The 26,927-nt window shown below is 41.1% G+C and overlaps 1 protein-coding gene, 1 long non-coding RNA gene and 1 pseudogene across 10 annotated transcripts in view; 2 read left to right on the top strand and 1 right to left on the bottom strand.

Annotated features, from left to right (window-relative positions):
* The window catches only part of E2F3 (E2F transcription factor 3), a 91,836-nt gene that overhangs the window by 35,904 nt on the left and 29,005 nt on the right, over positions 1-26,927 (top strand). The window contains exon 1 of one of the 9 annotated variants that reach the window (XM_005248866.6): positions 7,118-7,331. The exons of 6 other annotated variants lie outside the window; for them this stretch is intronic. In XM_005248866.6, the coding sequence (XP_005248923.1) occupies positions 7,329-7,331 (3 nt within the window). In that variant the 5' untranslated portion in view covers positions 7,118-7,328. Of the gene's footprint in view, positions 1-7,117; positions 7,332-7,357; positions 16,554-25,599; positions 26,611-26,927 lie in introns of those variants that run through there. 2 more of the 9 variants (XM_011514328.4, XM_017010330.2) reach the window with 2 other exon arrangements.
* On the top strand, positions 39-2,396 carry E2F3-IT1 (E2F3 intronic transcript 1). Its single transcript, NR_046776.1, has 2 exons — positions 39-216; positions 2,175-2,396. It is a non-coding gene; the product is annotated as an E2F3 intronic transcript 1 (long non-coding RNA).
* On the bottom strand, positions 14,587-14,691 carry RNU6-141P (RNA, U6 small nuclear 141, pseudogene; annotated as a pseudogene).

The raw sequence follows: 26,927 nt of genomic DNA on the forward strand, positions 1-26,927 counted from the left end.
ATTCTCTAATCTATTCTTTCCTTTAACTGGTTAGGAAGCAGAGTCCAAGAGAAATGCCCTGCCCAGGGTCTGGCAGAACTGATGGAGAGCAGCCTTCGTGGCTACCACCTTCCCATAAAGTCTGTGCTCTCCAGCGGCGCTTGGTAATAAGATTTATTTAATGACACGTGTAACTCTAAGACTATTTGTGATGGCGAATACCACAGATTTGACTGGGTAATGTGATATTTGTTATTTGCTTTAAGTTAACTTTAGCCTTTAGCACAGTGTGATGGAAAGGGCACCAAACTTGTGATCTAGAAGACTTGGGTTCAAGTTTCAGATTTGAATTAGCTTTGCTTCTGCAAATCTGAGGACCCTATTTTCTTAATCCATGAAATGGGAATAATAATACTCACCCAATTTACCTTACACAGTCGTGAGGATTCATTGTAATGGGCTTTGTAAAAATATAAAGTGCTATATAAACATAAGGGTGTTAATCTCCTGTCTTTGGTGACAGGCTAAAAAGACATACTTGTTTCAAATTTTGGATACTCTAATTTGCATAATCTTACACATTCTCTTTCTCTATTTTTAACTCTATGTTTTCCCCATCAGATTTTTTTCTGTTAGGAGTTACAATATCTCTCTTCAACTGGGCTTTGCCTCAAGGTGTATAAACTTAAAGCATTATCTCCGGTGCAGTTTGTCAGTGTCTCGGCATATTTGAAATTTTTAGTACTGCATTTGGTATATGAAAGCTGCATCCTATGTAAGACCATAGGATATTTAAACAGATGTTCAAATTTCTATTGTGAAAATCCTAGCTCATTCCTTGCTAGAGATGAAGCACTGAGGACAGTACAATCACCACCTTAAAACAAACCACCTAAGCACAGCTTTGGCTGCACAGATTGGAAGGGAATCTGGTAATTACACTCTTTAGTTCTTCTGTGAATATAACCAATCTGGGCAATTTGGGCACCAGAGTGGATTTTTAGGCATGAATTATCTGGTTAAGTTAGCCAGATAATTGCCAGCTGTCTCCCGTGCTTTCTGCTCTGGAGACCCCAGCCGGAGTAATTGTCTTCTGTTTACTCATGCAAGCAAGTTGCTGGTTTCCATTTTCAAACAAAAACTAACTGCATGTTAGAATGGTATTTTAATTGAGCTATTTTTGTTGCTGATTCAGAGATTCCCCCACCCTTTGCCAAAGGAGTTGCCCAGATTAGAACCCATTAATTTAGTTGATTTGGGGGGTTCCTTGTTGACTTTGGGGAAGACATAAATATTATAAAAGAGATTTAGAAGTTGATGGTATAAGGTTTTCCGAAACATTCAAAACTTATCTCAAATTCTGACCAAACATTTTTCTACTAATTTTCCTAACTAAATGGAAACTCCAGCTGTATAAATAATGATTTTTGTTTGAAAACATTTTTTCTCTTGATTTTAGAACCATCGAGGGAATTAAATTATAAATAAGTAGCAGGAAAGAACAACTTTGTCAATGTGAAACAGAATGCAAAATTACTCACATTTTGAACTGAGTTCCAGAATGTAAAGCAACGCTTTAGCATGGGCTGCTGAAGCGAGCTGCTCTTTAGGGAGGAGGAGGAGGCTTACTGAGACGTTTTGTTTGTTTCTTTATTTTATTTATTAATGTATTTGCCATTTCTCCATTAGATCTGATTTTAATACTGTAAGTCTTTCCACTGATTACAAGTGCAGTGACATGTCCCTCTGCAACCATCATTTTCCTCCCATTTTTTCTTTTCTCTTTTTTAAAGAGACAGGGTCTCTGTCACCCAGGCTTGCATACAGTGGCGTGATCATAGCTCACTGCAGTCTCAAACTCTTGAGTTCAAGTGATCCTCCCACCTCAGCCTCCTGAGTAACTAGGACTAGGTGCATGCCACCAAAGCCTGGCTAATTTTTTAAATTTCTTTGTAGAGAGGGGTCTCACTATGTTGCCCAGGCTGGTGTCAAACTCCTGGGCTCAATCCTCCTGCCTCGGCCTCCCAGAACATTGGGGTTACAAGCATGAGCCACTGTACCTGGCCCTCCTCCAATTTTTTCTTAAGAAAAAAGAGAATTCATACTTCATTTACCTGACAGTCCTCATCCCATTTAAGTGTATACAATGGAAATACGTACATTTATGACCAATATTGGTCTCTTTCTTTCTGTAGGTTTGAGTTTTGATTATAGACTTCGATGGAGAAAGCAATGGCGCCACAACCCAGCCAGGGTGCCCTGCCAGGACTTCCTCATCTCTTGCAGTGAAACCCCCTTATCAAACATTACGTGCTATCTGGCCCCCTTTGTCATACTTTCTTGCACTCCACTTACTACATATCAAGGATTTGCCATGTTGTGGAAAAGTTGGTTTCATAACATATTTTGAACTCTTATTTAAGGGAGTTGTTTTTCTTATATTCTTCATTCCACAAATACTTAACCAAGGCATATTTTGCCACAGGTACATGACTTCCAAAGAAATCATAACTATAGTTATCCAAAAAAATTAAAATAATTTAGTAATGTCCACATCGTCTTAAACACTCTTCCAGAATGTTCCAAAGGAACAAATGGTTGCAGTGACTTTTAACTTTAGCCCCAGCCTACTTCCAGCTAAGGCAGTTCTCACTGCAGATATATGTATTCATTGGTCCAAAGAAAGAGAGAGGAAAACTTGGCTCCCGAGTATTTAGAGTGAATGATTCACGATTCTGTACATGGGAGTCTTGGCTCCTTCTCTGTCTCTCAGGCTTTTTGGTAGGAAGTCAATGATACCAGTAGAAAAAAGGCTGTTTTTCTGACTTAGGATTTGGTCCGCTCTCTGCAACCCACTAGAGAAACTGAAGTTTTCTTTCCATAATGATCTGAAGTGTTGATAGTTACCATCTCTGTAAAAGCTCATTAAAAAATGACTTATTTTCCTTTGGAAGGAGAGGTCACATGCTGGAGCTAGCAGTGGAATATCAGGACCAAGGATCATAAGCCTCCTGCTGTAACTCTGGTTTCCAGATTTATTTGAGCCTACTTCTGCCAGAAGTAAATTTGGTGGGCATCTTGAATGGAGAAATGAACAGATGATCAAGGAGAGGGAAAAGGGTCAGGAGTAGGGGTGGGAAGACCCCAAAATCCAGTGAAAAGGGTCAGGGGTAGGGGTGGGAAGCCCCAAAATCCAGTGTGGCAGATAAGGGGAGGCCCAAAATCCAGTGTGGCAGACAAGGGGTGAGGGCATCCGAAACACACAGTTTACTATTTTAACCATTTTTAGGTGTATGATTCAGTAGCATTGGCTACATTTACAATGTTATGCAAGCATCATCCATGTCCAGATTTTTTTCACCGTCTCTAACAGAAAATCTACCATTGAACAATAACTCCCCTCCCATCCCTCTAGTCCCTGGTAAGCTCTATTCTACTTTCTGTCTGTATGAACTTGACCACTCTAGATACCTCATATAAGTGGAATCATAAAATATTTACCCTTCTGTATCTGCCTTATTTCACTTAGCACAATGTCTTTAAGTTTCATTCATATTGTAGCATGTATCAGAATCTCATTCTTTTTATCTCTGAATAATATTCCATGGTATGTATAAGGCCCCATTTTGTTTATCTTTTCATTCATCAATGGACATTTGAGTTGTTTTCTTCTCTTGGCTATCGTGAATAATGATGCAATGAACATGGATGTATGAGAGTATCTTCTGTTTGAGTCCCCTTTTAAAATTCCTTTGGGTATATATCCAGAAGTAGAATTGCTGGTCATATGGTAATTCTGTGTTTAGCTTGTGTTTTTGTTTTTGTTTTTTTGAGATGGAATCTTGCTCTGTTGCCCAGGCTGGAGTGTAGTGGCATGACCTTGGCTCACTACAACCTCCACCTCCTGGGTTCAAGCGATTCTTCTGCCTCAACCTCCTAAGTAGCTGAGATCACGCGTGGGTAATTTTTTTTTTTTTTTTTTTTTTAGTACAGACAGCGTTTCACTGTGTTGGCCAGGCTGGTCTCGAACTCCTTACCTCAAGCCATCCACCCACCTTGGCCTCCCAACGTGCTGGGATTATAGGCATGAGCCACCGCTTCCGGCCATATGTTTAACTTTTTGAGGAACTATCAAACTGTTTTCCACAGCGGGTGCCCCATCTTACAATCCTACTAGCCATGCACTAGGGGATTGACGCGGATCCTTTCTTTGACCCATCCGCATGTCACCCAACCTTTTTTTTTTTTTGCTAACCAGCAGTTTGCTCAACAGGCCTCATCCTCATTCATCACTGGGTCTCCTTTTGCTGTTTGCCGAGTCTGCCTGCCCCTTTGGTGTTGGCTTTGGCTAGAGAAAGGAGCATATTTGTTTTGCTACTGACCTGGTTGGACATGCATGCCAGCCTGTTTATGAGGTGCTTTCTCTGGCTGAGGGAGTCAGGGGCTGTGCAACTGTATTCTTTAGTGTGAAGGTGAGCCAACACAGCGAAGTATGCTCGCCCTGCCTCCTCCAGAAACAATCTGCCTTTGAGTCTTTTCATTCTCCTGGTAACCGTCTTCTTAATAGCTGTGGCTTCATCTAAATGAAAAATTTATCTTGTGCTGCTTACCCAAAGGAGAGGCTCCTCACATGTCAGATATTATTTCACCAATTATCTCAGTAACTTCTGTGCTTTTTATTCCTGAAAGCAAAGTTGAGAATGATGCAGGTTTCCACAACATGCGGTGTTTCGTGCATTTTTATCCTTACGTAGTTACAAGAAACAAAGCAAAATTTAGAATTATTTGAAGTACTTTTAACACCCTCAATTTGATATGTTGTGTGTATATTTATATCTGGACACAATTCTTTTCATTGAACAGTATAGACAAAGCATTTAGAGGACAGTTAAGTTTCTCCAATAATCATGTTTAAACATATCTCAGGCCGGGTGAGGTGGCTCATGCCTGTAATCCCAGCACTTTGGGAGGCCGAGGCAGATTGGATCACCTGAGGTCAGGAGTTGGAGATCAGCCTGGAAAACATGGTGAAACCCCGTCTCTACTAAAAATAGAAAAATTGGCCGGGCATGGTGGCAGGCACCTGTAATCCCAGCTGTGCAGGAGACTGAGGCAGGAGAATCACTTGAACCTAGGAGGCAGAGGTTGCAGTGAGCCAAGATTGCGCCATTGCACTCCAGCCTGGGCGACAAGAGCAAACTGTCTCAAAAAAAAAAAAATCTCAAATCTATTTTTTAAATTTAACCTTTGAAACATTTGTGTAACGCAGGTGGCTCATGGGCACCACCATCTTCTTTTGGCAGATGAGGAAACAAACCTGTCTGTCAACACAGAAAGCTGGGTCTGCTCAAGAATTGCTGTGGGGTACAGTGGCAATAGCAGGGACAAGAGGGATGCAGGGGTCCTGTCTTCGTGTCTGTGGACCAGCCCTTCTCAAAGTCCACGGCTGCCCCTCTTGGCTCCATTCTTTGTCTCTTCATGGAATTGTTCTGTGGGAATAGTCTGCATATAGTGATTCTGCATTCCAACATCTAACTTCCCTGTGCCTTCCTATTTACAAAAGACACAGTTTCTTGACCTGAAATCCCCAGTTTGGGATTATTAATAACATTTTTTTGTAACCTGTAGTGCTTCAGATACTGTCTCAGCCTATGTGAATTCTGGTAGCATTATTGCCTTATAGAAATTATTTGACAGGCCAGATGCAGTGGCTCATACCCATAATCCCAGTGCTTTGGGAAGCTGAGGTGGGCTGATTGGTTGAGCCCAGGAGTTCGAGATCAGCCTGGGCAACATAGCCAGACCCCTATCTCTTCAAAAAAATTTAACAGGGCATGGTGGTGCACGCCTGTAGTCTTAGTTACTCGGGAGAGCGAGAACCCATCTCTGAAAAGAGCAATGCTAGAGGTAAGAAAGTCTATCTTTGTTTTTTTAAGCTGGTATTCCCATTCTGCCCCCCAATTTATCTTCACCCCTTTCAAGGTGAGTGCTTTGTGATGGCCCTAACATTTATTTAGTCTAAACAAAAGAAAAATTATTTGAGAGTTAATTGTGTGTGTCTGTACTGCATGTCTTCCGTCAAATTAAAAGTTAACTATTGCATTTTATTTATTTTACCTTAATTTCATATCAAGTACTTTCATACTTTTTAGCTTTTAAAATGACAGAGGCTGGGCTCAGTGTCTCACTCCTGTAATCCCAGCACCTTGAGAGGCCGAGGTGGGAGGATTACTGAAGCCCAGGAGTTCAAGACCAGTCTGGGCAACATAGTGAAACCAGGTCTCTACAAAAAAAAATTAGTCAGGCATGGTGGTGTGCGCCCATGTTCCCAGCTACTTGGAAGGCTGAGCCCAGGAGGCAGAGGCTGCAGTTAGCTGTGTTTGTGCCTCTACACTCTAGCCTGGGCAGCAGAGCGAGACCTAGTCTTGAAAAATAAATATAAAATAATAGAATGCTCTTCCCAGCTAGATTGTAAGGTTTTTATATGTTAGTGTCCCCATGGTATATTGTAAGTTGTAGGTACATACCCCTATTTATTATATGTTATGGTGTTTTTAGGCAATGAGATTTTTAATATTAGCTACTCATGATTCGCAACAAGTTCGGTCTTTATGAAATAAACTTCATTCAAATCTTTGAATTCCATTTTTAAGTGCAGCTACAGTTGATACCTTAGACAAATGAAAGATTTGTCTACTTCTTAGTTCATTCCTACAGAAAATAAGAACATCTAGTATCTAATATGATCCCTCGTGGGCCCTCAAGAAATACTAGTCTTTTTTAGAAAGTCTAGTCGTGGGTCTGTTTCTCTTTATTCCATTGTGTCTGCCTGCCTTGTTATTGCTGTGTCTAGAAGAAAATGAAGAAAATTAGCATGGCTCCTTTCGTTGCTGTTTTGTACAACTTTTGTATCCTCACTCAGAAGCAAGATCCTTGGAAATGAAATGCTATGTCAAAAACCAGACGAAAAAAACACAACAACAACAGAAAACACATTTTTTATAACTACTCGATTCAAGATTTTGTTGCTAGGTCTTGGAAAATGTTGTATGTCAACCCAAAGGTCTTGGGAAGTCCCCCTGAGTCATGAATGGGTGTGGTAGGACTGGGATGTGGACCTCTGGGCTTTGCTTCTGATGATAACTTCTCCTAGGGCAGCAGTCATGCTGGGGACAGCCGTTTTGTCTGTTTATCTCTAGGCCTTGCACTGTCCCTGTCATATAATAGATGCTCAATACATGTCTTTTGAACTGAACTGCATTGGCCTGGCCATGGTTTAAGCATTTGGACCAATAACACCCTGAGTGTCAAGTTCCTCCTCAGTCGGGCTGGAGAGTCGAGAGCGGGTCATGGTGAGTTGGTCTTTTTGTGTAAGAATCCCTAGTGGCAGCAGCGCCTTGTACTTAAAAATAGAATACTACCAACATCATCTTCCTTCCCAGGATGACAAGGCATTGAGAAAATTAGAATGTGTATATTTTCTCCCTTTTTTTTTTTTGAGACAGTCTCACTCTGTCCCCCAGGCTGGAGTACAGTGGCGCGATCTCAGCTCATTGCAACCTCCGCCTCCCGGGTTCAAGCGATTCTCCTGCCTCAGCCTCTCGAGTAGCTGGGATTACAGGCCCGTGCCACCAAGCCCAGCTAATTTTTGTAGTTTCAGTAGAGACGGGGTTTCACCATGTTGGCCAGGCTGGTCTCGAATTCCTGACCTCGTGAGCCACCGTGCCCGGCCTCTCCATTTTCTAAGACATGCGTTTTTTCATTTGTACATACGTATCTTAGCATTGATACCCCCTCTACATTTGTTTATAAAACAGTGGTACATCTTGTAATCAGTAGCTTCTTAGAACTGAGGAATTCGTTTTGTCATCACTCTGAAGGGCAGTTTAGCCAGTACAGTAAGTCTTCACTCCATAGGTTCTTGGAAATTGCAATTTTAAATGAATGAGATATCATGAAAGCAATTTGACCATAGGCTAATTGATATACATAAGACTTAAGTTCCTTCCAAAATACGTACAATGTTAAACACTGAAATAAAGGTAAGCTATACATACATTTAAGAAAGATTAATTTAAAAACAAGTAAGATGATTATTTAATCAGTTATTCCAGCTCGGGGTTTCTGGTGGATGGAGCCTGTCCCAGCAGCTCAGGGTGCAAGGCAGGGCACCAGCCCTGGACAGGATGCCATCCCATCACAGAGCACATTCGTACACAGCCAGAGTCACTCAGACTGGGACAGTGTAGACATGCCACTTTGCCTCATGTGCACAGCTTTGGGGTGTGGGAGGAACCCTGAGGACCCAGAGAAAACCCACGCGGATGTGGGGAAAACGTGGAAACTCCACCGATAGTGGCCATGGCCAGGAATCCTTTTTTTTTTCCTCATTAATGTTATAACAAAATGACATTGAATGAAATGTTATTCAAGGACCTGCTGTAGTTACAAATTGGTTATTAGACGGGTTGAAGTCTCTGCTTGGCCACTTTCTAGCTGACGTTAAGTTTCTCATCTGACTTAAAAGTCCAGGAAAGACGAAATGATATTATTTAGCACAGCAGCCTGACTTATAGTAGAGCATCAGTACATATTACCTATAGTTGTTTTCATGAAACTATTTCACCAGAAGTTTAGGGATTTATCCTCAAAGGCATTAGGAGTGCCTACACGGCACATAAGGGCATTGTTTTGTATCATACCACAAGTAGCACTTAAGGTTGGAATCATTGCTGACCCCAATGTAAAATGCCTCTTTCTGGACCAGAAAATGGAAAGTGAAATTTGCAATTCATCCCATGTTATTTATTTATTTAGAGACAGAGTCTTGCTGTGTCACCCGGACTAGAGCTGGAGTGCAGTGGTGCAATCTTGGCTCCCTGCAACCTCTGCCTCCTAGGTTCAAGCGATTCTCCTGCCTCAGCCTCCCGAGTAGCTGGGACTACTACAGGTGTGCGCTACCACACCTGCTAATTTTTGTATTTTTAGTAGAGACAGGGTTTCACCATGTTGGCCAGGCTGGTCTCAACTCCTGGGCTCCAGTGATCTGCCTGCATCGGCCTCTCAAAGTGCCAGGATTACAGGAGTGAGCAACCATGCCCGGCCCTCTGTATTTTTGATGGGATGGATGGTTCAACATTTAAAGAGAACCTAAAAAGTTAAAAGTAAAAGCAAAGAAGTCTTAATAACAAAAAGCACCTTCATGCAATGTCACTGTTTTACTGCATCTTAATAAAGAAATGTGGCCACCTTAGACCCAGAATATAATCAATTTTTAATTGTCTTTCTTGGATAATATCAAGATAGAGTGTAATAAGTTAGGTTAACATATTAGCTTGCATCTTGTCAGGGAAAATAGGTAGATCCTCTGAACACAGAGGAAGGAGGGACGTCCACGTTTGTCCTGTTTAGTGTCATACTGAAGAAGAGTATGACCAGCCAGTGCTGGGCGTTCTGCAGCTTGGGACAGATGTTGGGGGGAAGGGCACTGCCTTTCTTGTGAACTTTCTTGCCCAAGGGACAAATGAGCTAAGCAGTACTACGTTATTAGTGGGATGTGTATGTGTGTGTGTGTGTATGAGAGAGAGAGAGAGAGAAAGAGAAAGAGAACAGAGCCTGTAAGTCTTGCCATTTTGCCTTTTCAGACAACCCACCCCCACCCCTCAGCATAGGAATGTAGTCCTAACCCCAAGCCACTGCTTCTTCTGCTTGCAGCTCTAAACTTGAGCAGGTCTTGGGGGCAGTTCACCAGTGCACCACACTACACTACTCTCAGCAATCTTTTTTTTTTTTAAACAGTGATTTGCACTGATCTAGCCTCTAAGGGGTAAGGGCCGAGATGAAGCAGAGAATTTATTTTTATATTATGTCGTCTGGTGCAGAGACTGCTACAAAATCAGGAGTCAAAAATCTAAGGGAATAGGCTGTGAAGTCATTTTGTCCATGAGTTGTGTTACAACACATTCATTCATTGTAAACAATCACCAACAGTCATTGCCATAATTTATTCTTGGCAGTAAATTGGGTTTTCTAGTGACAGAGTAAGCCATCAGAATTAAGCAACCAGGAGCTCCAGTTCATGTGTGCTGGAAAAGATGTTTGCGAGACTTCAGGTACCACTACCTCATATTAAAGGTGAGCAAGTGGAGGCCCAGAGAGGGCAGGTGACTTGCCCAAGGTCACACAGTGGGTTAGAGCCATATCAAGGACTAGAACATTGGTAATCCATCACATCGTCCTTAAACCTTTCTGCCCCACTTCCTGTTGACACAATAGGCAGGATATTAAACTCCAGTTTCATTCCTGGGGATTGATATGAAAGGTTTTTTACTTGTCCAATCCCATTTTCCTTGTCCAGGCAGATGACAGGTAGTAATTTCAGAAACTGAGCAAGGGATGGTGAAAGCTAGATTGTAGTGGGCTCTTTTTGGTTTGGTTGTTATGAGCGCTCTCAATGCAAAGCTTAGAAACCTCTCCAGAGAAATAATCAGCTCTCCAAGGAGTGCTCTTGCAGACTAGCATGTTGCCTTGCTTGCTGGTGTGTATCTTCCTATAAATTCCTGGTATCCAGTGTCCATACAGGAGAAATTGGCTGACTTGTTTTCTTGCTGTGTTGTATGACAGATAATCAGAAATGTAACTCTGGTGCCTTGTCATGTGCCCAGAGGAAGTTAAATGTGCTTGCCTTTAATATGTATATGTATACACACACACACACACACAGCAGTTAGAAAATAGATGTTTGTAAAATATGATTTTTTTAGGGAATATGTAAAAACTGGCATCTCTTCAGATAGACATAGAGGTACTTAAAAACCTTGGTTAATATGTCTTGTTTGTATACTCCATGTGGTGTATTTTACACAGTATCTAAAGGTGTTGCCTGATTTTGAATTAGTTAAAAGACAGGTTAGAGACGTGGGAGAAGAGTATGTTGTATTTCTTGTCTGATCTGAGGAATTTTATATTCCTGAAGTCTATAATTAGGTGCTTGTGTTGATTGTTTATTGAAACAAAGCTGAAGGTGGGGGTGAGGGGAGTGCCACATAGTGGAAAACACTCTATGGCAAACATCTGAGCTTTACTTAAAAGCATGGGCTGCAAAGAAATGTAAATTCATTGGCTTAATTGGAAGAGAGTATTTATAGAAATTGAATGATCCAGTAAAACTAAAAGCCTGGCTTCTTTCATCTTCAGAGACCTGCCTTAGTAAATGCTGTTCTGGAAATCCCTTGCCTGCAAAGTGGACTTTGCCATCCAATTTCTGGCCTCCTGGCAGTCAGTCACTTTGACCTAACCCTATTGCTTGACTCGTATTTACTACGTACTTTCCTTTTTTGGCTTAGGGTTGTACTGAAAATGTACATGTAAAGAAAAAAATGTCCATGTACACTGAAGTTTTCTGATTTTTTATATAGCTCCATAATTTGATTTCAATAACTATTACAAAGAAACTTTTATAAGAAGATACAATTTGAAAATCTTGCTGTGCAGCCTCTTCCCATCTACTCTGCCTGCCTACTACGCCTTTTATAGTTCACCATATCCATTAGGTTCTCGAAAATTCTTCCACTGTTTATGCAAATCTTTAAATTTTTAAATACTTTTATTTTCCTTCTTAGAAAAGGTGACAACTAGATGCTATTCTGCACCTTGTTTTTACATGGAATCATATACCTTAATAAGCTTTTCAGACACTCTTTCAATCTTCTGCTATTATGAAGTTGCAGTGAATAACCTTGTATATCACTTCATACATGTGCAGGTATATCTGTAGGGTAATTTCCTATAAGGGGATCAGGATTTGGGCCAGCAGATATGTGCATATGTATTTGTGATCGTGTGGCTAGCCCCTCCTTTTTTTAACTTTTATTTTAAGTTTAGGGGTACATCTGCAGGTTTGTTATATAGGGAAACTCGTGTCATGAAGGTTTGTTGTACAGATTATTTCATCACACAGGTATTAAGCCTAGTACCCATTAGTTATTTTTCCTGATCCTCTCCCTCCTCCCACTCTCCACCTTCTCTGGTAGGCCCCACTGTCTGTTCCCCTTTATGTGTCCATATGTTCTTATAATTTAGCTCCCACTTATAAGTGAGAACATGCAGTATATGGTTTTCCGTTCCTGTGTTAGTTTGCTAAGGATAATGGCCTCCAGCTCCATCCATGTCCCTGCAAAGAACACAGTCTCATTATTTTTATGGCTGCATAGTATTCCGAGGTATATATGTACCACATTTTCATTATCCGGTCTATCATTGGTGAGCATTTAGGTTGATTCCATGTCTTTGCTATTGTGAATAGTGCTGCAGTGAACATACGGTATGCATGAGTCTTCATAACAGAACAATTTATATTCCTTTGAGTATATACCCAGAAATGGGAATGCTGGGTTGAATGGTATTTCTGGTAGTTTTTTTGGTCCTTGAGAAATCGCCACACTGCTTTCCATAATGGTTGAACTAATTTATACTTCCACCAACAATGTATAAGCCTTTTTTTTGGCAACCTCACCAGCATCTATTGTTTTTTGATTGTTTAATAATAGACATTCTGTCTGGTGTGAGATGGTATCTCATTGTGGTTTTGATTTGCATTTTTCTAATGATCAGTGACATTGAGCTTTTTTTCATATGCTTATTGGCTGCATCACATGTGTGTCTTTTGAAAAGTGTCTGCTCATGTCCTTTGCCCACGTTTTAATGGGGCTGTTTGTTTTTTTCTTGTAAATTTGTTTAAGTTTCTTACCGATGCTGGATATTAGACCTTTGTCAGATGCATAGTTTGCAAAAATTTTCTCCCATTCTATATGTTGTCTGTTTACTCTGTTGAGAGTTTCTTTTGCTGTGCAGAAGCTCTTTAGTTTAATTAGATCCCATTTGTCAATTTTTGCTTTTGTTCCAATTGCTTTTGGTGTCTTCGTCATGAAATCTTTGCCCGTTCCTGTTTTCAGAATGGTATTGCCTTGGTTGTCTTCCCGGGTTTTTATAAAAGTTTTGGATTTTACACTTACCTTTAATCCATCTTCAGTTGATTTTTATATATGGTATAACGAAAGAGTCCACTTTCAATCTTCTGCATATGGCTAGCCAGTTATCCCAGCACCATTTATTGAATAAGTAGTTCTTTACCCGTTGCTTAATTTTTGTCAGGTTTGTCGAAGATCATATGGTTGTAGGTGTGCGGCCTTACTTCTGGGCTCTCATTCTGTCCCATTGGTCTATGTGTCTGTTTTTGTACCAGTACCATGCTGTTTTGGTTACTGTGGCCCTATAGTATAGTTTGAAGTCAAGTAGTGTAATGCCTCCAGCTTTGTTCTTTTTGCTTAGGATTGCCTTTGCTATTCAGGCTCTTTTTTGGTTCCATATGAATTTTAAAATAGTTTTTTCTAGTTCTGTGAAGAATGTTGTTGGTAGTTTGATAGGAATAACATTGAATGTGTAAATTGCTTATGTTTTCCCATTTGTTTGTGTCATCTCTGATTTCTTTGAAGAGTGTTTTTAATTCTTGTTGTAGAGATCTTTCTAGTGTATTCCTAGGTGTTTTATTCTTTTTGTGGCAGTTGTGAATGGGATTATGTTTCTGATTTGGCTCTTGGCTTAACTGTTGGTATATGGGAATGCTAGTGGTTTTTGTATGTTGCTTTTGTATCCTGAGACTTCGCTGAATTTATGTATCAGCTTAAGGAGCTTTTGGGCTGAGACTATGGGGTTTTCTAGATATAGAATCATGTTGTCTGCAAACAGAGGGTAGTTTGACTTCCTCTCTTTTTATTTGGAGGCACTTTATTTCTTTCTCTTGACTGATTGCTCTGGCCAGGGCTTCCAATATTATGTTGAATAGGAGTGGTGAGAGAGGGCATCCTTGTCTTTTGCCAGTTTTCAAGGGGAATGCTTCCAGCTTTTGCCCATTCAGTATTATGTTGGCTGTGGATTTGTCATCGATGGCTCTTAATATTTTGAGGTATGTTCATTCAATATGTAGTTTACTGAGAATTTTTAACATGAAGCAGTGTTGAATTTTATTGAAAGCCTTTTCAGCATCTATTGAGATAATCATGTGTTTTTTGTCTTTAGTTGTTTATGTGATGAATCACATTTATTGCTTTGCCTGTGTTGAACCAACCTTGCATCCCAGGGATAAAGCCTACTTGATCATGATGGGTAAGCTTTTTGATGTGCTAGTGGGTTTGTTTTGCCAGTATTTTATTGAGGATTTTTGCATAGATGTTCATCAAGGATATTGGCCTTATTTTTTCATTGTGTCTCTGCCAGGTTTCGGTATAAGGAGGATGCTAGCCTCATAGAATGAGTTGGGGAAGAATCCCTCCTCCTCAATTTTTTGGACTAGTTACAGTGGGAATGGTACCAGCTCTTTGTACGTCTGGTAGAATTTGGATTTGGCTGTAAATCTGTCTGGTCCTGGGCTTTTCTTGGTTGGTAGGCTATTTATTGCTGATTCAATTTCAGAGTTCATTATTGGTCTCTTCAGGGATTCTGTTTCTTTCTGGTTCACTCTTGGGAGGGTGTATGTGTCCAGGAATTTATCCATTTCTTTTGGATTTTATAGTTCCTGTCGCTTGCCCTTTCAGTGGACTATTTTTGTTTTTTTAAATGGAATGCTTCACAAATATGCCCCTTCCTTGCACAGAGGCCATGCTAATTTTCTCTGTATTTTTCCAATTTTCATATATGTGCTGCTGAAGCGATCACCCTAAGTACTGTTTGATTTTTGCACTCCTGTCAACTTAATTAGGGCTGCACCAATAGAGTGGGTTATCAAACTTTTGGATTTTTGCCAATCTCATTTGTAAAATATACTTTATTGATATGGTTTAGATTTGCATACCTTTTTTAAAAAAGCAAAAGCCTGGACATCTTTTCAAGATGTTTAAAGGCCATTTGTTGGCCAGGTGCGGTGGCTCACACCTGTAATCCCAGCACTTTGGGAGGCTGAGGAGGGTGGATCACGAGGTCAGGAGATCCAGACCATCCTGGCCAACCAACATGGTGAAACCCCGTCTCTACTGAAAATACAAAAAAATTAGCTGGGCATGGTGGCACACACCTGTAGTCCCAGCTGCTCAGGAAGCTGAGGCAGGAGAATCGTTTGAACCCGGGTGGCAGAGGTTGCAGTGAGCCGAGATCGCACCACTGTACTCCAGCCTGGTGACAGAGTGAGACTCCATCTCAAAAAAAAAGAAGCCATTTGTTTTTCTTGTTTCTTTCTTTTTGTTTGTTTGTTTGTTTGTTTGTTTGTTTTGCAAACTGTACTTAATTCCTGTACGTGATTTACTCTTCTGTTGGATTCTTGCTCTTTTTCTTGTTGATTTGTAAGGGCTCTTTATATAATAGGGAGATTAGCTCTAAGTCTGTGATATGATCTTCAAATTTTTCTTGGTTTATCATTTCCTTTAGTATTTGTGGGGTTTTTTTGGTCTTATACAGAATTTTCCATTCTTTCTTTTATGGCTTCTGGATTTCGAGTCACAGAAAGCATTTCCACCAACCCCTTCCACACATACACGCACAAGAATTGACCCATATTTTCTTGCAGAATTTCTATGCTATTACTTTTTTTACATTTAAATATTTGCTCCATTTGAGGTTTATCCTGATATTCTGTTAAGTATGGATTCAAGTTTTTTGTTTTTGTTTTTGTTTTTGTTTTGGAAATAGGCTCTCACTCTGTTGCCCAGACTGGAGTGCAGTGGTGCAGTGACGGCTCACTGCAGCCTCGACCTCCTGTGCTCAGGTGATTCTCTTGCCTCAGCCTCCTGAGTAGCTGGGACCACAGGTGCACACCACCATGCCTGGCAAATTTTATTATTTGTGGAGACGAGGTCTCGCTACATTGTCCAGGCTGGTCTCTAACTCCTGGGCTCGGGCGATCCTACCTCCGCCTCCCAAAGTGCTGAGATTATAGGCAGGAGCAGTCGTGCCTGACTCAACTTTATTTTTTGTAGATGGCTACCCAATTTCCCTAACCACTTAGTCAAAATGCCCACCTTTCCTCCCACTGAAGTGCCACCATTATAAAGTAAATATTTTGTAAATGAAAAATGCCCACTATTCCCTTGTAAAACAAGAAACTGTGGGTCACCATTTTTTGGAAAGAATGTTTCAGTTCTCTTTTTAACTCAAGACAGCTCTTCCACTTTGTCCTCCAAGGATAATATTTACTCCAGAGTGAATGAATGAGGTTAACAACCCACCTGCTTGTTTCTCCCTAGTGGAATGTTAACATTTTGCCTCTTGGCACAATTCTCAAGATTTATCTTAAGACCCTGTCTCCTTTCACTCAAAGTATTTGTCTCTTTATCACAAAGCCTGAAGAAACATTTCTTGTTACTCAAGGACCATGCCTTTTATGAGCCCTAAGAACAGGAGTTATCAAAGTGTGGTCTTCCCCAGACCAGCAGTCTCAACATCAGCTGAGAATTGTCAGAAATGCAAACTGCTATCCTTGAGCTACAGAATCAGAGACCCTGTGTGGACAAGCCCAACAATCTGAATTCAACAAGCCTCTCAGGTGTTTCTGAGCATGCTCAAGATTGAGACCCATGACCTTAGAGGTAATATTTAATTTCATAATGGCAGTTTACAACCCTATAGCACTGCCTTGTGGGCGGATGGGTTTGGTCCTAATCTTCTTGACATGTAAAAATGTAGACTCACAGCAGGAAGTGATAATATCTGTTCTTTAAAGGTGGTATTCTTAGAGTAGGAAACTTTTCTGAGTTTTTTCCAGGAGTCACAAAGATACCTCACTAGGACCGCTAGTGCTTTGGACTAGAACACCTTACATCCAGAATCTTGCCACTGGGTCAGTGCTTCCCTTTGTCATATAATAAAAAACCAGCAAAACTGGTTTCTATAATATGCTAAGGAGTTTTGTAGCGTTGAAGACTTGTCTTACCCCCACAAAAGCATCATTGTTCCTTCTCATCCCTTGCCCCTCTGCCTTTAAAATTAATTTGATACCAGAATGGCAAATACTTCTGATGACTGTTAGCCACGCCATAATGGTGCTTGTATTTGGCAGGTTAAGGCAGAGTTCCCATACCTCTGAGCCTAATTGCCAGCCAGGGTTCAGCTCAGAGCAGTAGTTCTAAAGTTTTTCTGGACATTAGACTCCACTGGATAGCTTTTGAAAATTCAACTACCCGGGCCAAATCCATGTAACTAATTCTATATCTCAGGGGTGGAACCCAGGGATCAGGATTTTTTTTTATTACCCAGCCGATGACAATGTATATCGAAGTTAGTTTAAGAACAAAGGATGTGCGCACTTGTTTTAAAGTAGTTTTGGTTATGATAATAAGAATTATAAGAGGGACCAAATATCAAATGCAAGAAAATGGTCCTGAATGCCAATACAATCAGAATAAGAAATGCATAAATAGCGACTTGCTTGAAGCTGAAATCAACTCCTTTTTGGATGCCTTTCTTGTCTTTTGAAGAACACATGTTGTAGTATGTGTTTCTCTCCATATCCTGTGTGTTTCATTGTAATAGTCTTGCTGATTGATTTTGTTGGCTGCAAGCAAAGTGATAAAATGCCAGTGGGTGCCTGTGCCAGGGAGGTCAGGACTGGACTTTCCCACTTGGCTCTGTTTTGATGCATTTAGCAGATTGATTCCAACCCTCTTTGGAGACTCTGACCTACAAAAGTGTCTGTTATCTTTGAGAGCTCCAGGGAAAGCTATGGACCTTTCTAGATCTTTTCCCACCTTTTGGCCCATCAGATATTGCCTTGTCCACAGCAGAACTTGACGATTCATCATAGAAGCCTATGGTTTTATTTATTGACACTGCTGTACAATTTTCCCTGTAGCGAGTCATAGTTGGCTGAAGAGAGAGTCGAAGATTAAGTACAAAACTTTCTAAACATCCTGTTTTCCCTCAAGACAGGGCACTGTTCTTAATAAACTGAACATTCTTTTGCACTGGCCCTGGGGCAAGGGTGTCCCAAAAGCTTTGACAGGGGTGCCATTTGGTCATAAACAGTGTGGTAATAGGGTGGAGTCAGAAAGAAATTCTCTCATCCCTTTTACAACTCCAGGCAATTCTAGAACCAACCCTTGGGAACCCAGGGAAAGAACTCTGAAATGATACGCTGGCTGAGGTTTGCCGTGGCCACACCTCAGGGTTAAGCATTGAAGGAGCTAGGCAAAGAGTGTGTGTGTTTAGCTACAAACTAAGTCACAGATCAAGAGGCTTTTGGTATTCTTCCATTTTTGCTTAGAATTCTATGATGGTTTTTGAAATATATTGTCCTTACTTTATGTTCTTACCTGTAATCTCATAAGTTTCTGGTAAATTTAGCTTTTGCCAGGTTCCGGTGGGTCTTACCCAGAGATGGTCAGAGTAAATGAACAAAAGAAGGAATTGATTAGGATGTGAAACTTCAGATACGCTCACAGGCCTTCAAGCCCTAGAAAGTAGTATGCCAGTGAATTTTCTAGTCCTCTCTACACTTTGTACAGATGAAGAAACCGAGACCCAGGGAACTCAACCAAGGTTTCTTGCCATTCCTCCAGTCCCCCAGTTAAAAAAAAAAAAAAAATTAGGTTCTATTTTGCAAACTGACAAGGAGAATTATACAATGGAAATAACACTCATTTTAATGTATCTGTTCTTGTAGTTTCTTATTTTATTCACCTTTATAAACCATTCTGAGAACATTGTCATAAAGAGCATTCTCCTAAATTGGAATGTGATTCAAATAGTCCTGTCTCCTTTCCTCCTTGCTTTTTATGAAATGACTGCCTACACGCACTCGCGCACATATTTTAGTGAGCAATGCAATGTGCGAATACAAATAGAAATAGATTTTGTTAAAAAAAAATTAATGTCAGTCCACTAGTTAAAAAAGTACCAAAGTCATTACAAGATTCATTAACTATGTTTAAGAAAAGTATTGAGGGCTTTTTGGGGGATTAAATAATTTTAATTTATAAATAATGGCCTCAGATTCATAAACCTTAACTGATTGTAGAGATTATGAAGGTTTGTTTCTCACACAGTTAATTATTTGTTGCTTTTTAAATAACCAGATAATTACTTTGCATTTGTAATGATTAATTGCAAAAAGTTGGTTATAAGAATCCCTAGATGAATTCTCAGGTAAGATCTCATGCAGAATTCTTTGAAGTTCATTTGGGGTCATTTATCAAGAAAAGCAATGCATTTCAGGTTTATGAACTCACTTTGCCCACAGGTGAGGTTTCCAGGCTTCGAACCAGCAGGAGGAGAGTCAGTGGGAGGATCTGACGTAGGTATGGCTTCAGAGATGAAGAGAGTATTTCTCCTCCGCACCCCCTTTGCCTACACCTAGAAATAAGTTTAGCCTAGGGAAAAAATGTTCCCTGACTTGTCAGGTTCAGCTAGTGTACCCTTTGAGATCCTTCATTCTCTCTTTTTCTTTTTGAGAAGAAGTCTTACTCTGTTGCCCAGGCTGGAGTACAGTGGTCCCATCTTGGCTCACTGCACCCTCCGCACCCCAGGTTCAAGCGATTCTCCCGTCTCGGCCTCCCAAGTAGCTGGGATTACAAAAGCACACCATCATCCCTAGCTTATTTTTTCTTTTTTTTTTTTTTTTTTTTAGTAGAGATGGGGTTTCACCATGTTGGCCAGGCTGCTCGATCTCTTGACCTCAGGTAATCCGACCACCTCGGCCTCCCAAAGTGGTGGGATTACAGGTGTCAACCACTGCACCTAGCCCGTTCTCTCTTTAATCTCCCAATTAACGAACATCTACTGCGACAGCATCCATTACCTAGAATTGTAGGAAGGTATATAGGATAGACGTAGCAAAGAGGTAAGTGGGTAAGAAAATAAACACTCATAAAAAGGAGACAAACTGTCAGAGTGGTCCCCTAGCTACACCTGCCACAATTGCCTCCTGAGAAGTCCTTGTTCTGCACGAGCTAAAATTCCCATTCAAATAAATTGTTGCTCTTCCTATAATCATTGAGCTGCTGAATAGAGCCAGGGTCCTTGATAGACGTCATAGTTTGTTATTGACTTTATCACCAGTAAAAGTTAATACTGTCATCCCTTTCCTGCAGCAACACACTACCATTTTTTTTTCCAAAATTAATTTAGGTAAAGAACATTTTTCTTAGTATAATTTTCATTGAATTCAGTATTATCAAGTTTGTATATTTTTAGAGCTTTTGGATCGCTATTCCAGCCCACATTTTTCATAGCAATTTGTCTAGTATTTCTTCAAGATCTTTTTATGTTCATTTGAAAAATGAACATGACTTCATATGTATTCATTAGCAATCACTGCCGTAGGCCTTTCTGTTTGATTTTTCTTCTGAACCTCAGAGATAGTGGCTCATTATGAAGTAGAAAAAGGCTAACTAAGACCTTGTTCTGAACTTACAGTGGGTAAGCAAGAGGCTTCAGATCCATAATCTCTATCAAAATGTTTGCCCACATTACTGTAACAGGGAGTCATTCAGAATGAGAGTGGAGGAATTTGACTCCTTTTAAAGAATCGCGTGTGCTTTTTCTACTTTCATGGTTGTGTCGTTTTGCCGGGGAGATTTTGAAAGAGAAGACTCATATCTTGTCTTCCCCATACCGAGGGGTCTTTAACCCCTAATCTATAAATTAAATAGGTAGGTCAAGCAATACCTACCAGAGTTGGTTGCTCTGCCCACTGGCTCCTCTCTGCACCTCCCTCCCAGACCATTTCTCCACTTCCTCAGCCTTAGAAAAAACAGCTCACTCATGGTGGTGCTTGCCGGTGGACCTTGGAGATAAGCTTCTATTCTTGGTTGTTTTTAAGAAAACTGAATTCTCTTCTTAGAGCCAACCCATATCTTATCAGTGTAACTTTACTCACTCTCCAAGCCCTAATTCCATTCTGTCCTTTAAACATTAGGAGATTTCCCAAAAATAGGCTTGTCAGTAAAACTCTGGTGTGACAAAGGGGCAAAAGTGTTGCTTTTTTGTGTGGAGATTGCATTTTTAATATTCTGTTCCCCAGAAGTGGTTCCAGGATGCTTCCCTAGAAGTCTTTGGGAAGAACAATTAGAGTAAGAAAGGTTCTTCCATTATCTGCCCCAGGCTGGGTGTCTTCGGATGACTCTGTCACCTCACAAGTTGTTTAATCCTGTATTTAGCTTGTCAGGGATCATACGAAATGGGGTCTACATCAGATTTTCCACAGTTGTTTTTTTTCTTTAGTGATATAGCCTGGAAGGGCTGGGGGCGGTGGCTCACGCCTGTAATCCCAGCACTTTAGGAGGCCAAGGCGGCTGGATCACCTGAGGTCAGTATCACCTGAGACCAGTCTGGCCAACATGGTGAAACCCCGTCTCTACTAAAAATATAAAAGTTAGTCTTAGCCTAGCGTGGTGGCCGACACCTGTAATCCCAGCTACTCGGGAGGCTGAGGCAGGAGTCTCACTTGAACCCCAGAGGCAGAGGTTGCAGTGAGCCAACATCGTGCCACTGCACTCCAGCCTGGGTGACAGAGTGAAACTCCATCTGAAAACAAACAAAAAAAGGTCATATAGCCAGGAAGAGCTTCAGTGGGAAGAACAGCAGGAGGAATGAAGTCCCACGGGTTATCTGAAGAGATGTACTGATTTCAGAACAGTGATGCCAGCTATGAAAACTAACTACCACTTATATCATTAGATGAAGAGCCTGTTCTGAAACCTCCCGTTACCACTATATTATGTTTAAAAAGTATACATCTGAACAGTCAGTGTAGCTGAAAATTGATGTCACCGTTTACATTGATTTTTTTTAATACATAGAAAATTTTTTTATCTTAACAAATTAAAGGTTTGTTAGAGGATCCACTTTCCTTTAATTAAAATAATCGATATGGAAGTACACAGTAGGCATTGGATACATTTTTGTTTCCTTTTGAAAATCTGTGAGTTACAGCCAGACTCTTCGTCCCAGCACTTTAGGAGGCCTAGGCGGGCAGATCACTTGAGTCCAGGAGTTCGAGACCAGCCTGGGCAATGTGGTGAAACCCTGTCTCTCCAAAAATACACAAATTAGCCAGGTGTGGTGGCGTGCACCTGTAGTCCCAGCTACTTGGGGGGTCGAGGTGAGAAGATTGCTTGAGCCCATGAGATTGAAGCTACAGTGATTGCACCACTGCACTCCAGCCTGGGCAACAGAGCAAGACCCTGTCTCAAAAGAAAAAGAAAACTTGTGAGTTACCTACCTTTGGGGAAGTGGAGAACTGATGTTATAGAAATGGGCAATAATCCTAAAATCTGGGGGTTCCCATTGCTCACTTCTTTTCTCTCATCCGCTCATTCATTCTTTCACTAAATGTTATTCTTTGTCAGTGTTCATAGAGGCTTCCCACGACTTGTCTCCCAGAAGCCCAGCTGTCTCAGAACTTCTCACGGGCTGACTGGTTCCTCCAATTTCCCTAGACTTTTTTGTTTGTTTGTTTTTAACATGTGTATCCTTTGTTTTTATTCTATTTTCACCAATTTTACAAATGAATTACACAGATTATGTATTCCCACACACATTCTATCAGAAGTATATAGGATGTATTAGCGTCTTCAGCCCTTCCCCTTCTCCTCACTTATGGACTTCCTTCCAGGCCTTTTTCTATGTATTTTCAACAGTGGTTATTTTGGCTTTACATTGGAAACCATGCCTTATCTACAGTTCTGACTTGTTTTTTTCCTTACTTGTTAAAGGAAAGATGTACCTTGGCCATAGAATACTGCAGGTACATAATGTTCTATAATATGGGTATATAAGATAAAATGGTTTATTTAACCATTCCCTTTTAATGAACAATAGTCATTTAGATTTTTAACTTACCCCTGTTGATTATAGTGCTATAATAAACATCCTTATACATGCCTTCCTGTGCATGTTTTTCAGTATTTCTCTAAGATAAATTGATTCCCAGAAGTACACTTGTAGAGTCAAAAAGTCATGCATGTTTTGGCCAGGCATGGTGGCTCACGCCCGTAATCCCAGCACTTTGGGAGGCCGAGGAGGGCAGATCATCTGAGGTCAGGAGTTCGAGACCAGCCTGGCCAACATGGTGAAACCCTATCTCTACTAAAAATACAAAAATTAGCTGGGTGTGGTGGTGCACACCTGTAATCCCAGCTACATGGGAGGCTGAGGCAGGAGAATCACTTGAACCCAGGAGATGGAAGTTCCAGTGAGCCGAGATCACACCACTACACTCTAGCCTGGGAGACAGAGCAAGACTCTATCTCCAAAAAAAAAAAAAAAAAAAAAAAAAAAAGCCATGTATATTTTAAATATTAACACTGCCAGGTAATCCTCCAAAATAGTTATACTAAGTCTCATGCCCATTCTTCTGCCTCACTAATTGACACTTGTTTTTAATTTTTTAATTTACTATAAAACATTTCAGATGCAAAAGATAGAAAGAATAGCACCCATGAAATGACATTAACAATACATTTGAAGGTCGGGCACGGTGGCTCACTCCTGTAATCCCAGCACTTTGGGAGGCCGAGGTGAGTGGATCACAAGGTCAGGAGATCGAGACCATCCTGGCTAACATGGTGAAACCCCGTTTCTACTAAAAATACAAAAAACTTAGCCAGTTGTGGTGGTGGGCACCTGTAGTCCCAGCCACTTGGGAGGCTGAGGCGGGAGAATGGCGTGAACCCGGGAGGCAGAGCTTGCAGTGAGCCAAGATGGCACCACTGCACTCCAGCCTGGGCGACAGAGCGAGACAATACATTTGAAGTCTTGTTTCTCTCCCCAAATGCATTGTTTTTTCCACTACATTTCCCTTCATTTCTCATACTTTGCCTGTGTTGTGTATGTCTACTTTTACTACGTATTTATTAATCTAATGCTATTTAGTAATGTTTTCAATGTTTTTAAAATTTTATAAAAAGATGCCGTATACATTCTGAGGTTTTTTTGTTTGTTTTTTACTCACTACTATATTTGTGTGATTGGCCTGTGTTGATAACTATAGCCTGGTGCTAATGCTGCTCTACAAATTCTTGTGTACACATCCTTGTGCATATGCGCAAGAGTTTATGGTGCATATTGAGAAGTTGATGGTTTTCACTAAATATTGATAAAACTCTTCTCCCGAGGGGCCCTCCCCGTCAACCCCTGGCTTCAAGCATAGTATCAGTTTCTCGTATTTTCAGCACTTGGTATTTTTAGACTTTGTCATTTTTGCCAACCTTGTAAGTGTGAGAAGGCTATTTCATTTTAATTTATATTTCTCTGACTTCGTATTTTAATATTTTCAACCATTTAGTAGTCTCTTCTAGGAATCCCCTATTCCTGTCTTTTATCTAATTTTTCTCTTGGGTTATATGTTCTTTTCTTACTGGCTACTCCTAATTCTTTACCTATTCTGGATAATAATGCTGAGGTAGCTTACCTTTCCATTGTTTTACTGTGGCCTTTTGTTGACAGATAGCACGTGTGATTTGTGCTGCCCTCCCGTGCAGTCTCTTGTTTATACCTCAGTATGTCTGGAGTTGAGTTTTGTATGTAGTTTGAGGGATCCAATTTTATTTTTCCGATACACAGTTTATTAAATTGTCCATTCTTTGCAGTATCTGCAGTGTCCCATTTGTAATATATGACATCTTCATGTATGTGTGGAGCTGTGTCTCGGTTTTCTATACTATTCTTTTGGTCTATTTACCTATCGGTATGCCTGTACATATTTCACTAATTCTTTTTTTTTTTTTTTCTGAGACAGAGTCTCACTCTGTCACCCAGGCTGGAGTGCAGTGGCGTGATCTTGGCTCACTGCAACCTCCATCTCCCAGGTTCAAGCGATTCTCCCACCTCAGCCTCCTAAGTAACTGGGATTACAGGTGTCCGCCCTCTTACCTTGCAAATTTTTGTATTTTTAGTAGAGACAGGGTTTCACCAGGTTGGTGAGGCTGGTCTTGAACTCCTGACCTCAGGTAATCCGCCCACCTCGGCCTCCCAAAGTGCTGGGATTACAGGCGTGAGCCACCACACCCTGCCTAGTTCACTAATTCCTATAGTTACACAATAAAAACCTGGGTATCGGGCAGGGCAGGTCTCTCTATCTTGTTCTTTTTGTTTTGTTCTCTTTCTCTCTCTCTCTTTTTTTTTTTTTTTTTTTTTTTTTTTTTTTTTTTTTGAGACAGGGTCTCACTGTATCACCCAGCCTGGACTCAAACTCCTGAGCTCAAGCAATCCTTCCACCTCAGCCCCCATTCACTCTTTAGTGCAGTCATAGCTCACTGCAGCCTCAAATTCCTAGGCTCAAGTGATCCTCCCACTTTAACCTCTAAGTGGTGGGATTACAGGTGTGCACCACCAGACTTGGCTAATTTTTTTATTTTGGTAGAGACCGGGTCTTGCTGTTGCCCACGCTGTTCTTGAACTCCTGGTCTCAAGTGATTCTCCTGCCTCTGCCTCTCAAAATTCTGGGATTACAAGGCATGAGCCCCACTGCACCAGGCCAAATCTCTTTAAAAGATAATCAATTTTAAAAATTAGTAAATTGTGGCCAGGTGCAGTGGCACACACTTAAAATCCCAGTGCTTTGGGAGGCTGAGGTAGGAGGATAGCTTGAAGCCAGGAGTTCGAGACCAGCCTGGGCAACATAGTGAAGTCCCCTATCTGTAAAAACAAAGAGAGAGATTTAAATGTAACATATTTACCCACATAGTTACCATTTCTACTGCTCTTAATTCCTTCGCCTAGATCTGTTTTCCATTTGACATCATTTTATTCTGTTTGAGGCACTTCCTTTAATATTTTCTCTATTCTACTGGTGAAGAATTCTTTCGGCTTTCGTATCTCTGGGAAAAAGTCCCTATTTTGCCTTGAGATTTTAAAAGGTTTTCGCTGGGTATGTCTGAGAATATAGAGGAACTAAAAACCTCAGTTTCTCCTACTGTAGTTTCACATCACGCTTCTGACACCAGATGTGCTGAGTCAGGGGGTACTTTCCCTAGACATCAAGCAAGCAATTCATTCTGCAGTGGACACCAGCTGGGTGTCCCCCAGTTCAATTCTACTTCATCTACCCAGAGATAGCGTCAGATCCCACAGGTTGAAGGCTGAGCCCCGCACAACTGTCCCCCACTTCCAATGCCAGTCGCAAGCCCCAGATTGTCTTACCTGTTTTTTTCTGACTGAATAGCTATAAATTGGGGTTCCCACAACCCCCTTCTTGGGTTTGATTAATTTGCCAGAGCAGGTCACAGAACTCAGGGAAACAGCATTTACTGGTTTATTATAAAGGATATTACAAAGGGTACAGATAAAGGGATGCACAGGGCGAGGTATGGGGGCAGGAGTGTGGAGCTTCCATGCCCTCCCCAGGTGTGCCACCCTCTAGGAACCTCTGTGTGTTCAGTTATTCAGAAGCTCTCCAAACCCAGTCCTTCGGGGGCTTTTATGGAAGCTGCATTACATAGGCATGGTTGATTGCATCATTGGCCTTTGGTGATCAGATGGGCTGTTGTCTGTTCACCTTGAAACTGCCTTGAAATGCATCATAAACACAGCAGCTCTTTGTCAGTCAATCAGAGAGCTGTTTATCAGACACTGAAGAATCCAGCAGCTCCTCACACAGTTCCAGAGTCAGGCCTAAGGGGGAGGTTATCTCCTCCTTGCATTCCTCAGGTAGGTAGCATGATCTCTTATAAACCATTTCCATTTTATGATAGAACTCTTCTGGGCACTGCCATCCCCATTACAGTGTTCCTGTGACATCACCCCCAGACAGCATGGTTATTTCAGGTTTCAGGGTCATTTTGTGTTCTTCAGTCTAGGCTCCACACAGGACTATGCCTCCAGGATATGTCTCCACCAGCAGTCAGCTTCTGCTCTACGCCCTGTGGCCTTGGGCAACCTTGCTGGCTCCCATTTAGCACGTCCAATTAATATTGCTCAAAGGGTGGATTTGCATGCCTTCTGTTTTACAGTACTATGTAGGGGGA

Source organism: Homo sapiens, chromosome 6, assembly GCF_000001405.40.
Source record: "Homo sapiens chromosome 6, GRCh38.p14 Primary Assembly".
Classification (NCBI taxonomy): Eukaryota; Metazoa; Chordata; class Mammalia; order Primates; family Hominidae; genus Homo; species Homo sapiens.